At 34.8% G+C, this 15,314-nt stretch overlaps 1 long non-coding RNA gene across 1 annotated transcript in view; it reads left to right on the top strand.

Moving 5' to 3' along the window:
* The window catches only part of LOC101929028 (uncharacterized), a 382,849-nt gene that overhangs the window by 42,661 nt on the left and 324,874 nt on the right, over window positions 1-15,314 (top strand). The window contains exon 2 of the long non-coding RNA XR_007061175.1: window positions 14,128-14,253. This is a non-coding gene — a long non-coding RNA (uncharacterized LOC101929028). The remainder of the gene's footprint in view (window positions 1-14,127; window positions 14,254-15,314) is intronic.

The raw sequence follows: 15,314 nt of genomic DNA, 5'->3' as shown, positions 1-15,314 counted from the left end.
ATTTCAGTTCTTATTAAGTCTCTGTTGGAGTACTGTATTTTAAATTTCTGAAGTTGTATACCAAAGTGATAGAGTGGGGATTGAGTCCAGTGAAGTGTTTGCCCCAGTCAAATTCTCTTTTGAATCTCTGCTCACCCCTGCCTGGTTACTGCCGTCCAATAAGAGTGTTTTGACTGCAAAGTGGTTTTCTCCTTTAGCAACCCATCTTTCTTCAGATATTGTTTATTTTATAAATTATGCTTTATGGATTTTAGCCAACATTTTCATCTCTTTGGAATCCAAACTATGTTATCCTGCTATTCTGTTATGCATCATTTCCTTTCTGATATACATTCTAACTATACTTATTTCATGTTTGAATGACCTCGTATTCTCCTTCCTGACATTTTGTTTCTGAAACGTGGGCTCATTATAGCATCCTGCCCGTCTTCTTTGACCATTGCTGTCTCTTCAAATTGAAGTGCGTAGTCATAGCAAACCCAGTAAGAGGTCTAGCTAGGGAACAATTTTCTAATTTAAGATTGTCACTGCATATGGTTTAGTTTTCCCATGGTTTTCTGATTGAGGTTGTTACAAGGGTATTATAAAAGAGGGAAGAGGAAAGCTTTTCCCCAAAAGCGATATCATGAAGTATATAAACTTGACCTACAATGTGAAAATTTAGTGTATTTTCTTCAATATAAAATGCTACTTGGCACAGTGGATGTTTCCCAGTGTCATTTTGCTATAGAATAGTTGCCTATTTGTCAGAAACTATTTGTCAGTTTTCTCAGTATCTGCAGGTGGTAAGTATGCTTCAGAATTCAGGCAAGGAAAATTGTGTGCTCACAGGGATTCGTGCAAGTGCTTGACAAAAAATATGATCTTATTTCTGAATTCTTCCACAGCTTCAATGTGCATAATCAGGGTATTTGCTAGATTTCTTGTTATCAGGAACAGTTTAATCAATCTTAATTGACGATAGTGGTCATCATCACATTTTGGACATCAAAAATTTTCCAACATTTATTTTATCTTCTAATTATTATATTTCACACAAATAAATGCAGTTTGCATGTAAAAGAAAGCAAAGAGAATCAGGTATCTATGAGGAGAAATTCTGCTAATGTAGCTGTTAGGATGTAGTAGCATGGACATACTTATGATAATGGCCTTAGGGATTGGAGAACAAGCCAAATCAGATATAAATTAGGATCCTTTTGGCTACAAGTAATATAATAGCATACTAAATGCAACTTTGGTAATAAAGGCTTACAATTTCATATAAGTTCAGAGACAGGCAGTTTCAGAACTGATTTGATGCTCAGTGGTATCAGGTTTCTGTATTTTTCTTTTCTACCAGGGAAGAAATTCTGTCCTGGAAGGTCCTAGCAGATTTCTCATTACATGTCACTGCCCAGAATGAGATACCAAGCCTCCTACCAAAGTATGCTTCAACAACGGTCCACGGAAGGGGAGGGCAGGCTTGTGACAGGTTGAGAACAATCACGAATAATTCCTTGGAGGTGGGCCCCTTCCCTGAGCATGTTGGCATCTCAACAAAATTGGAGATCTGTTAACAAGGAAGATTGGGATAGGGTGGAGGTGACTGCTGGGTATAACAAATAGTATTTTCTAGCCAAAGAGCATAGACGAAGAGTGTGAATGGAGGAAAGAGCTCATCAAAAAAATACGTGGATACACGGGCTGTTTTTTTAAAATTATTTTAGGGCATGTTATGTAACAAAAATGTATTTTGACTTGTATTTCAGAAACGAAAAAATAAATTGTTGAAAGCAAAAAGGAATATGGATGGAAACAGTAAATGGTTTCTGACTATTTCACATAGTGTGTGCAAATGCGAAGATATGATTAATTAGGTAACATAATGGTTTTGCTAGTTTGATAGGGATGGCTTTAAATAATTATTTTCTGCTCTATTTGGGATTAAATGTATTGCTCCTCCTCTGGTTTTAAAGCATTAACCTCTCTTAGAATATCTCAGTTTGGTATCATCAGGTGAAATGTATCTTCTTGGGTAAAATTATTTTGCAGATGCTCAGTGTATAAACTGGAAGTATAAGAGGAAAAAAACAAGGCTCAGAGGAATTTTTGGTAGCATTTGCCTAATCATGCAAGCTGAAATTGGTTTACCTTTAATGCATGAATTCTCTCATGTTGAGGGAAATTAAGAGAATTCTTGCACTTTAAGAGGGCTGGGCTGTTAAATCCTCAAAACCACTTTTCACTTGTAGAAAACTCAGTACAATTTTCTATGTGAGTCTCAAAACTTAAAAAATCCCCACAGCATAGTCAGAAACGTGCATTTATTACATTTTGTGAAAAGGCTGTATTAAACATTGGGTTACACTGCATATTTTATTTTTGTTTATTTATTTATTTAGAGACAGGGTCTTGCCGTGTCACCCAGGCTGGAGTGCACAGTCATAGCTCACTGTAACCTTGAAATCCTGGCACAGTCATAGCTCACTATAATCTTGAACTCCTGGACTTAAGCAATCCTCCCATTTCTGCCTCCCAGGTAGCTGGGAGACTACAGGTGAGTGCCACTACATCCTAACAATTTTTGTAACTTTTGTAGACAGGGATCCCGCTATGTTGCCCAGGCTGGTCTCGAACTCCAGGCCTCAAATGATCCTCCTGCCTCAGCCTCCCATTTTTTATTTTAAAAATAAAGTCTCAGATAGACTGACAACATTGCATAGTTGCTGAAAGCATAGACTTTGGAGCCAGACTGTCTGGGTTTCTATCCTTGCTCAGCTACTAACTAGTTTTGAGACTTTGAGGGGGTTATATCTCAGCTTTCTCAAACACAAAACGGGAAGATTTACCTATGTCATGGGATTATTCTGAGGATTAAGTTGTTTTTAATTTCTTCAAGTATCACTTGGCACACAGTAATATTCAGGTTTTAAAAATACAAATATGCCTTGAATTATCATTGCATGCTTTCTTATTAAATATATTAGGATAATCAAAATATTTTTTCTGAAAAAATTCTCTAAATATAGCATTCCTGTGGCATGTAACATTTTCTGTTATTTTTTTCCCGGATACACGCATATATGGAATAAATTATTCAATATATTTCTGAGGAATATCTATATTGCATTATTCTTTCTAGATGCAAGCTTATTGAGGGTAGAGAGAACTTCTTAATAGTTGGGCAGACAACGTATTGTACCACTTTATGAAGCTGATGATATTAGGGAATTAATGTGTTCCATAATGTGCACAAAGAAATTCAGATTGTCAAATTCACTGCCAATGTCAACAGGTCTAGACTAATGAAAATTATAGCTGGCAAAATTAGTGACCCTAGGAACAAACTTTAACATTTATACACTTCTATTGGGCTATAACATGTATACCCTAATACTTTCGCTAACTGTCCATTAGTACTTTAATATAAAGGACAAGCTTTTAAGGATTACTGATGGTAGGCCATATATCTATTTGGACATATTTATAAGATATATATGGTCTTTCAGGGCCATGTATCTCATAAAAGCAAAAAAAAAAAAAAGATCATAAGCTAAATATAACGAAAGGAAATAAAACTAAAAACCGTTAATAGACCTATGTAAATGGCTGAAGGATGGCAATCTGCAGAATGAAATAATTTTCCATGGAGATGGGTTAGGTCCTGAATGTCAGATTTGGATGAGTGGATGCAATGGTGAGGAGACTACCAAGGACATTCCAGGGCAGGAGGGGGACCCTAGCCAAGGTCTCATATGGGGCTTGTCATTGTTCTTATGGGATTGACCTGGATACTGGTATTAAAGGAACTGCCCTGATTGAAGTATATACAACATGTTTTCCCCTCTGATTTTTTTTTTCTGATTTTAGAGACTGAGCATATATTTCAGAGTGTTTTTTTGCTATACATAATCACATTCTAATATAAGAAGAGTATTCAGAAAGTTCTTAAATAGACCTATTTCATCTTGTTCTTGTTTGGTGTAGGAGTATATTGAATATATATACATATATATATTTGAAGGATGAGGATATTTGCTTGGCTTAGGTGGCCATGAAGTTCTCAAGCTTGTGGTTTGCAGCCCAGCCTAAAGCATTGGATACATTCCTTTACAGACCAGATTCCCTCATCCATCTTTGCTGCCATCCACAGTGAGGTGATGTTGATGGCTAAGTTAGTATGTTTCTAGCAAAGTTATAATGTTGAAAACTTGTGTCTTAAAAAGGTATAAGAAGAGCCTTTAGGGAAATGCCTTAATAGTTTTGTTCCCATCAAAGAAAGGTAAATAATTCAACAAAAGGGGAAGCAAATAATCCAATGTATAAATCATAAACACATAATTAAAAGTCAGACTATACATATATATGTGTGTGTATATATGCACATATATACGTATATGTGTGTGTATATATGCATATATATACGTATATGTGTGTATATGCACATATATACGCATATGTGTGTGTATATGCACATATATACGCATATGTGTGTGTATATGCACATATATACATATGTGTGTGTATATGCACATATATACGTGTGTGTATATGCACATATATACGTGTGTGTGTATATGCACATATATACGTGTGTGTATATATGCACATATATACGTGTGTGTATATATGCACATATATACGTGTGTGTATATATGCACATATATACGTGTGTGTATATATGCACATATATACATATGTGTGTATATATGCACATATATACCTGTGTGTATATATGCACATATATACCTGTGTGTATATATGCACATATATACATATGTGTGTATATATGCACATATATACATATGTGTGTGTATATGCACGTATATACATATGTGTGTGTATATGCACGTATATACATATGTGTGTGTGTATATGCACGTATATACATATGTGTGTGTGTATATGCACGTATATACATATGTGTGTGTATATGCACGTATATACGTGTGTGTGTATATGCACGTATATACATATATGTGTGTGTATATGCACGTATATACATATATGTGTGTATATGCACGTATATACATATATGTGTGTATATGCACGTATATACATATGTGTGTGTATATATGCACGTATATACGTATATGTGTGTGTATATATGCACGTATATACGTATATGTGTGTGTATATATGCACGTATATACGTATATGTGTGTGTATATATGCACGTATATACGTATATGTGTGTGTATATATGCACGTATATACGTATATGTGTGTATATATGCAAGTATATACGTATATATGTGTGTGTATATATGCACGTATATACGTATATATGTGTGTATATATGCACGTATATACGTATATGTGTGTATATATGCACATATATGTGTGTGTATATGCACATGTATGTGTGTCTATATGCACATGTATACGTGTGTGTCTATATGCACATGTATACGTGTGTGTCTATATGCACATGTATACGTGTGTGTCTATATACACATGTATACGTGTGTATATACACATATATACGTGTGTGTATATACACATATATGTGTGTGTATATACACATATGTGTGTATATACATATATATGTGTGTATATACACATATGTGTGTATATACACATATATACATATATGTGTATATACACATATATACATATATGTGTATATACACATATATACATGTGTGTGTATATACACATATATGTGTGTGTATATACACATATATGTGTGTGTATATACACATATATGTGTGTGTATATACACATATATGTGTGTGTATATACACATATATGTGTGTATATACACATATATGTGTGTGTATATACACATATATACATATATCTATGTGTGTATATATACACATATATACATGTCTGTGTGTGTATATATATACATATATGTGTATATATACACATACATATATGTGTGTGTATATATGTACACATATACGTATATACATGTGTGTATATATGTGTACATATATATGTGTATATATATGTGTATATATATGTGTATATATGTGTATATATATGTGTGTATATATGTGTATATATGTGTGTGTGTATATATATGTGTATATATGTGTGTGTGTGTATATATATATATATATATATATATATATATATATATCTCAAAGTCACATAGCTCCAGAGCTCCACAGGGGTACAAGTATGAGTACGTTCACTGCAGTGTTTAACTACAGATAGTTGGAGACAAAATGGGTGTCTATTACAGAGGGATGAACAGTAAAGCATGTGTCCATCTTGGAGTATTATGCAGCAGTTAGCAGGAGTGGACTAGATATATACATGGAAATATGGGTAGATATTTGGTCTTAGTCCTTTTGGGCTTCTATAACAAAACGCTATAAATAGGATGGCTAATATAGAACAGAAATTTATTTCTTCCCGTTCTGGAGGCTAGGGGATCCAATAAAAGGTGCCAGCAAATGCAGTGTCTGCTGAGAGCCTACTCATCATAAATGGTGCCTTTTCACTGCATCCTCCCACGGTGGAGATGGCTAATTAGTTTCTGGGGTCTTTTTTATCATGACACTTATCTCATCTAATCACTTCTCCAAAGCCACATCCCTCAATACTGTCACACGGGGATTAGTTACATTGTATTAATTTTGGGAGGATGCAAACATTCAGACCGTAGCATATTTGAAAATAAAATTCTGAGAAAAAAGAAACAAATTGAAATATATAACACAACCCTATTTGTACAAAATAAAATACATGAAAACCAACCAAGCCCATATATTTTATAAGAACATATCAAGAAAATGATATATGTTGAATATATGAAAATGGTTGACTATGGGAGTGGGGGAGGAAAACAGGAATTGAGAAGGAGGAATGGTGTAAAAAAAATAGGATTAAAGATGTCAATATTCTCTGTGAACTGAGGAGTATAATTTCCTGACCTCTGCTCCTTCCATCTAATAAAATCTGTCCCAGCCTCCAGCCTCCTGTTTCTTCTGCCAAATACAGAAAGTAGATCAAATAAACAAAAAAGCAAAGCTTGAGTGTATAGAGTATGTGTTCTTTGTAAATTTAGCTTCTTGCAAAGTGATTTTGATCTATTCATTCTTGTTTAAATGTGCTTATGTTTATGTAAACATCCATGTTAATAGTTCTTCAGTAACAAACTTTACTTCTCTTTTTGAGGTTGAAAAGTTTTTAAAAAGACTAGTCTGAAGCACCTCTTTTCCTGACGCAAAAAGTCTTGAAGCAATATTCAAGACTGAATGCTTGAAAACACTGCCTTCTGTGTTCTCTTGTGCCGAGGATCTCCCCTATGTCTCAACCGTGCTCAAGGCTGTCTCAGCTGAATATTTCCTTATAACACCACTCTTAACTGACATTTCTTCATCATGATGCACTAGTGCCTGTTCCAATGTTGCTTTGCTTTAGTTGATACCAATCAAATACTTCAAACTGCAGATGGAGAAGGACATTGCCAGTTAGAAACTTAGGGGCTCATACTTCGTTGAAAAACAGCTGATGTTTCTATGTTGAAAAGCATGTTCTCAGAGTATTAGAAGTAAACTTCTCTTCATCCATGTCCCTGCAAAGGATATGAACTCATCTTTTTATGTCTGCAAAGTATTCCATGGTGTATATGTGTCACATTTTCTTTATTCATTCTATCATTGATGGACATTTGAGTTGGTTTCAAGTCTTTGCTATTGTGAAAAGTGCTGCAATAAACATACGTGTACGTGTGTCTTTGTAGTAGAATGATTTATAATCCTTTGGTTATATCCCCAGTAATGGGATTGCTGGGTCGAATGGTATTTGTGATTCTAGATCCTTGAGGAATCGCCACACTGTCTTGCACAATGGTTGAACTAATTTACACTCCCACCAACAGTGTGAAAGCGTTCCTATTTCTCCATCATTCTCGGCAAGCAAACACAGGAACAGAAAACCAAACACTGCATGTTCCCACTCATAAGTGAGAGTTGAACAATGAAAACACATGGACACAGGGAGAGGAACATCACACAGTGGGGACTGTCGGAGGGTGGGAGGCTAGGGGTGGGATAGCATTAGGACAAATACCTAATGTAGATGACGGGTTGATGGGTACAGCAAACCACCATGGCATGTGTATACCTGTGCAACAAATCTGTACATTCTGCACATGTATCCCAGAACTTAAAGGAGATATATATATATATATATATATATATATATATATATATATGGTCACTTAAGACAATAACAAAAACAAAACAAACAAAACAAAACAAGTAAACTTCTCAGAAAATTTGTGCTTAATGTATTTTTATTAAACAAGTTCTGTAGAACTGATGTTTCTTATTTTTGTTAATGATATCCAGGAAACTCACTTGATAAAGGGCAGGAACCAGAATTTCTCAATTTTATTACTATATTTTGTTACTTTGGTTCTCCCAGGAATATCTTCCTTCAATTGAATTATGAGCCTGTATGAATTCATTCAAGAAATAATCAGCACCTACCATCCTACTATGTTCCTGGCTCTGTTCTATGTGTCCAGAGCATATCAGAGCCCCATACAAAGATCCTTATCTTTCTGGGTATCCCATGCTAGCAAGGGGATAAAGACAAAAAGCAATAAACATAATACATGAGTGATTTATATTTTATGTTAGAAGGTGATAAGTGATATACAAAAAATTTTTAGAAGTGTAAGGGGGATTAGGAGGGCTGGAAAATTGTGGGGAAAGAGCTTAGAAGGATGTAGTATTGAATTAGTAGTCATTGAACAGATACAATTATTAACAAATTTCGAAACAGGTGAGGATGTTGCCAAAGGATATTTGGGAGAAGAGCTTTCCAGTCAGAGAGAACAGCTTAGAACTCAGGCCTTAAGGCAAGTAGAGTGCCCCGGTGTGTTCTCACAACAAGGAGGCCAGTGTGGCTGAGCAGCGTTGGGGAGGTGAAAGTGGAGATGAAGTCGGGGAAGTAATGGAGGGGCCAGTAGTTGTAGAGTCTTGTGGGACCTTGTAAGGACTTTGGATTTACTGCAAGTGAATGAAGAATCATTATATGGTTTTGGGTTGAGAAGTGCCATGATTTAACTGACGATTTAAAAGGCTCAGTCTGGCTTCCATGTGAAAAATAGAGTGTGGAGATACCATGGTATACACATGTAACAAAGCTGCACATTGTGCACATGTACCCTAGAACTTAAAGTATAATAAATATATGTAAAAAGAAATGAGAAGACCTAGTGCTGTAAACCTTAAGTAAGAGAGGTTGGTGGCTTTGTAGCAGTGAAAAGTGGTGAGAATCTTTTGGATTCTGGAAATATTTTAAAGCTAGATCCAAGAGAATATCGAATGGATTTGATACAGGGCGGGAAAGAAAAAGTCAAAGATAATTCCAGAGCTTTGGCCTGAACAACTGGAAGGATAGTGTTGCCATCAAATGAGACAGGGAAGACTATAAGTGGAACATGTTTGGGAGGAAAATCATGAGATCATGAGTCTGATTTTAGAAATTTGACTTTGGAATGTTTATTAGACATTCAGGGGGCAATGTTGAGCTGTCGGATGTATGAATCTTGAAATCGGGAGAGTAGTCTAGGCTGGCAATACAAATTTGGGACTGGCCAGCATATAGATGGTACCTAAAACTATGAGACTGGATGTGATCCAAGGAAGAGACAGTACACAGAGAAGAGAATGGACCAAGGGCTGAGCGCACCAAAATTACCAGTTAAGGAACAAGAGGGAAGACTGGGAATCTGTAGATTAGTATGGTAGAAGAAAATTCAATTAAGGGGAATATTCTGAAATCAAAGAATTCAACTGTTAATCAAAGATTGAAACAGGAAATAATCATTTAAAACTGGCTGCTCATTGTCTATAAAATTGTCTTGGAAGATACTTTCTTTCGTATTGCTTGATGAATTTTGCGCATAAAGCCAAAGGACGTTCCACTGAAAGTAGAACTGGGAAAAGCTTGTATCTTTTTTTTTTTTTTGAGATGGAGTCTTGCTCTGTCGCCCAGGCTGGAGTGCAGTGGCGCGATCTCGGCTCACAGCAAGCTCCACCTCCCGGGTTCAAGCCATTCTCCTGCCCCAGCCTCCCGAGTAGCTGGGACTACAGGTGCCCGCCACCACGCCCAGCTGATTTTTTTTTTTTTTTTTTTTTTTTTGCATTTTTAGTAGAGACGGGTTTTCACTGTATTAGCCAGGATGGTCTCGATTTCCTGACCTCGTGATCGGCCCGCCTCGGCCTCCCAAAGTGCTGGGATTAGAGTCGTGAGCCACCGCGCCCGGCCAAAAGCTTGTTTCTTTTAAAGGATTATACTGATTATCTTTTAAAAAAACAATAAGAATCCCAATATACAATTTACTTGTTTATACATACTGCTATGGTTTGGATGTTTATCCCCTCCAAACCGTATGTTTTGGTGATGGGGCGGATTCCACATTTCTTGTGATGTGATATCTGTACATGCCGGCTTCCTTTAGGCTTCTGCCATGAGTGGAAGACGCCTGAGGCACTCACCAGATGCCAATGCCCACTCTTGAACTTTCTAGGCATCAGAATCATGAGCCAAACAAACAATGCTTTTTTTGTTTTTCATAAATCACCTAGCGTCAGGTATTCCTTTATAGCAACACAAAATGGAGTAAGACCTAAACTTTGATCCATACATTTAAAAAGAGAATTAGAGAACCGGAGTTGACTTTTGGACATACCTGAGGTATAGGGAAAGAAATAGTAAGATAATCTAATGCCAAATGAAAGATTCAGGGACAGAAGCATCACAGAAAGTCATTTTCATTTGTAAGAAGGGGATTAAAACTTTGGCTTGGACCTTTCAGTAGCTAGAACAAACAGAGAAACATAAGCAGTTGAAATAATCATGATGTCCATAAGTTTCAAATGAGAAATGTTTCTGGTACTAAAATCATAGTGAAGTTTTTCTCATGGATACTCATAAAAAGGCTCTGTATGTTTTGGTGGAAGGTATAATCCATAACATTCTTGTGATATCCAGTGTTAAATTTCACTGACCTATTTCTCATTATTTCTTCCCTTTAGAGATTATGATATCAAAGAGAAATTTCTTCAGATCATTCAGTGAAGAATCAAATTAGTTTTATTATTGTCTGGATTGATCCAATAATTATATTAAATGTCTGGAAGTTAGTCTCAATCTCTCTTGTCTGTTCCCTTTTGACTTACTTTATATATTCCTAAAAATCATGTGTGTGTTGAGCTGTGTACTCATGGCAATAGGAATGATGTGAATGTTTAACCAACACGGCTCGTTGGATTTTTGTTTATTTTTCCCTTTGGGAGAAAAGGAAAGTTGGAAAAGTCAGGACAAGACATTTCTAAGAAGGGAAATAGTGACTTTATTTATGTAATACCTTTAAGTGTAATACATTTAATTCATACAGATCCTTCTGTACTTGATGAAGCCTGTTATACTTATCAGACTAGACTTTCCACCATCTGCTGGACTTTTATGCTGAAAGTAGCAGCAGTTCTTGTGCCATGTTGAGGAAGGAGATTAAATTCTTCAAGCCACTCAGCCATTAAATTACATTCTAATGTTCAGTGATGTTTTAACAGGGATCCTCATTATTATGATATTAGCGTACTTGAATTTGATATTGTACCATGGTTTTGAACTAGTCCTGCTAGTGGTGCTGAGAAATTAAGAATACAGGAAAGAATTATCTGTAGCTTGCTTTTATGAGGGAAACAATGTTAGTTAGTGTAAAAAAACCTACTTGCCCAAATACCTGCTATTTCTTTCTCCTCTTTTTACTTAGAGAGTGGCTGGGGCTGAGATGACTTGGAGAAGTAGGAGAAATGTAAAGGGAAGGCATTCAGTTTAATTATTAAAATGGTGTGATGCTTATTGTGTTTACAGAAGACTAAGAATTCATTTTTTAGTTGTTGGGTAGATGTTAGTGTGGTTATAATTATTGCAAAATAAACATTTGGGCAATAATAATAATAATAGTATTTCAAATCAGTAAATAGATGTGATACAGAAATAGTACTTTTTTTCTCCTATCTCTCAAGTACATATCAACATATGCAGAATATACTTCATATGTTCTTCAATGAATAGGAGAACCATTTTCTGGGAAGTGGTTATGATTCTTGAAATAGATAATTATATAATGTTTGAAAATATCATTAATAACAGATTCACTGAAATGCACACTATATAAGTCAAACTTTCTAAAAAAAAGTAAATGTAATATCATTTCACCACCAGCCATGATGTAATGTTGAAATGTGTTAGGATCTTCTTGGTGCTAACTACTTAACGTTTCATGTATCAGGAGCAGTTACACAAACAGTAACAATTCACATACTTGTAATGACAAATCGAATAGAAGGCAGATGAAAATAAGATAAATTCAGATATCCATTTAGTTCTTTGTGAATTACAAATGTGTGCAATTACTTAGGTAATGGCATGGTGTTGGTGTCATTCAGCTGCTGGCATATGGATAATGGAGAACATTTCATCAGTATTTGAGTGAATGCTATTTTATTGCCTTTTGTTGGAGTCTTCCTTTTCACCCCAATGATTTCACATTTTCTACTTGCTGTCTCATTCTTGACTTCCCACTCTTTGGATTTTCTCAGTGGAGCACTTTATCTCACTCCTAAGTAGCTCCAATAGTTTCAGTACACAGTTCAGTGAGTCAAATTGATGAAGCATTAAGGTTGAAAACACCACTGGTGATTTTTTCTTAAAAGTTGTATTTAGATGGAAAATATTCTTGAGAAAACCTTGAGAAGCACTAGAATGCAGTAGAATTTTACTTTCATATGACTTCTATCAATGCAGCTAGACTGGATTTAGTTTTCAAGTTGTCCCATCCTAAAATTGATCCTAGTGAGTTCACAGTTAAAACTTTTATGTTTTTTCCAAGTGAATTTTAGCTATGTTACCTATCTTCTCATTCTGTACTTATGTAATTATTTTTTGAACATAAATACAGGGCTTTAAATTCACCTTTTGAGTTTGAGATCCAATCTCTCATAGTGATATTTAATTTTGGTTTTATTATTAGGTTCTTACAAAGGTAATTGTGGTTTTTGTCATTAAATGCCACAATTACCTTTGTACCTAACTGATATATTATTCTACTTTCCAGCTTTCTGAAATCTGTACATTTGATGAGCATAAATTTCATTTTTATTATGTTTTTATTTTTTATATTTTTGGTGTATTTTCCACATGTTCTATTTTTTTTCTATTTTATTTTTATTTTTTCCGTTATTTTAATTTTTTGATAAAGAATAAATTTTATGTTTAATCTTAGTTAAATAATTAGTTTAATTTTTAAGTATGAGTATAGTAAGTATATAAAGTCTGTTGCAAGTTTTCATAGCATAACTGACAGGCAAAGTCAATGAAGCTATTGCAAGAAAAAAAAGACACCTGTGAAACTTAAATGTAGGTTCATGAAAAGACAATGTAAATATCTAGAAGGTATAGAAGGTCAGAATAAAACTGGCTAGACTGAAGGAGAATTTAAGCAATATCTTGCAAAGTTCTTAAGAGTGAACTATAGGAGATCCTCAAATAGTCAAGAAAGGAAACCAGCTATAGAATCAATGCTACCACTTAATCAGAGCAAATTTGGGATTCAGCAATGAAAAGGAGTGAGGTGGATAGATAGATAGATAGAATAGTATGTTTTTTGCCTGACTCCTTATTGAAAGATGTGAGAAAAATCTATTTAATAAAATATCCCTGAAAATATTTATATTAGACACATTCCTTTATTAAATACATTTTAGATGTTACATATTTTACACAGTACTTATTTTTACAGCTACAGCAAGTGTGACCTATTAATCTCAAACTCCAGTCAATAATCATTAACCTATATATTAAAGTTACAAAATGACTTATAGTATGCCTTCTAGTTTAACCTAGTTTTCTTTATCACTGGGGAAATAATTTTCTATGATTCCATGAAGTATTCCTTCTGAGTTAATTGGGAACACGAAGGAGCATAAAATTCGAGCTTTCACAATATAAGTGTATGTTGTTTTTGCTTATTCATTCATTCCATAGGCATTTATTTAGTATCTTCTATGCTGGGGATATGTCATATCTTCCTCAAGCATTGTACCATCTCATAGAGTTTACAGTCCCTTTTGCAGCTAGAGCTGTGTGTGATTCCTTTTTCAGATCTGGTTGTTAATCTCAAAGTAATCTCAAAGTTACCATTACTCCTGTGGTCCAGTTGGAAGCACAGTCTCAATGTGGATCATGAAACAAAGGCTGTGATGGATGCTGCAGTGTTCACAAGACACGGTTAGTATGCAAATAATTGGGCAATGCAACTGTTGGGTAAACCTACCATCTACATTGAGAGAACAGTTCATTTAAGTGACCACTATTGAGGAATGATTTCACAGTCTGCACCTTTTAGCTACTTATAGCCATTTTAATTTTTGCTAGTGAAATTTTTATTAGTGAAATTGTGCAGAACAATAGCTAATTGTCCAAAAATACTAATAATATTTTTATAGTTTAAGTGTGCATTTTATAGATAAATCTTTTATCAAGTATTTGCTATTTCAAATAATGCCACTGTTAAATTATGAAATTATTCAACTTATTTTACTGGAGAAACCATTACTTTCTTTAGATGAATATACTCTTCCCTTCTCTGAGTTGTAATGGAAATAAGGTCATATTAACATATTTGATCAATCTATATTTTACTAAAACATTCCAAGGACTACTAAGCTCCTTGGCCTAGAATGCAATTTATGGAGGAAAAAATAATTTGTTTAAAATGTTATATTAAAATTTAGAGACAAAGTTATTTTTGGATGTTCTTCTTTACTAGAATTTATAATTTTATTTGCATTCTGTTTTTTTTTTCAAGTAGGTTTTATTTTGTAGAGTAGTTTTAGGTTTACAGCTAAACTAAGCAGAAGGTACAGAGATTTCCCATATAGCCTCTGCCCACACACAGGTGTAGCCTTTTCTATTATCAACATCTGCCACCAGACTGGTGCATTGTTGCAACTGATGAACCTACACTGTCACATTATCATCCAGAGTCCATAATTTACATTAGGGCTCACTCTTGGTATTGTATATTCTGTGGGTTTGGACAAATGTACGACATGCACCAACATTGTAGGATCATACAGAGCAGTTTCACTGTCCTAAAAATCCTCTGTGCTTTGCCTATTCCTTCCTTCTTCCTCCGAAATTCTGGCAACCCTTGATCTTTTTTACTGTCTCCATAGTTTTAGGTTTTCCAGAATGTAACATTGTTGGAATCATACAGTATGTAGCTTTTTCTGATTGGCTTCTTTTACTTAGTAACATGCATGTAAGTTTCCTCTATTCATGGCTTG

This window comes from Homo sapiens, chromosome 8, assembly GCF_000001405.40.
Source record: "Homo sapiens chromosome 8, GRCh38.p14 Primary Assembly".
NCBI classification, from domain to species: Eukaryota; Metazoa; Chordata; class Mammalia; order Primates; family Hominidae; genus Homo; species Homo sapiens.
This window is presented reverse-complemented; position numbering and strand designations above follow the sequence as displayed.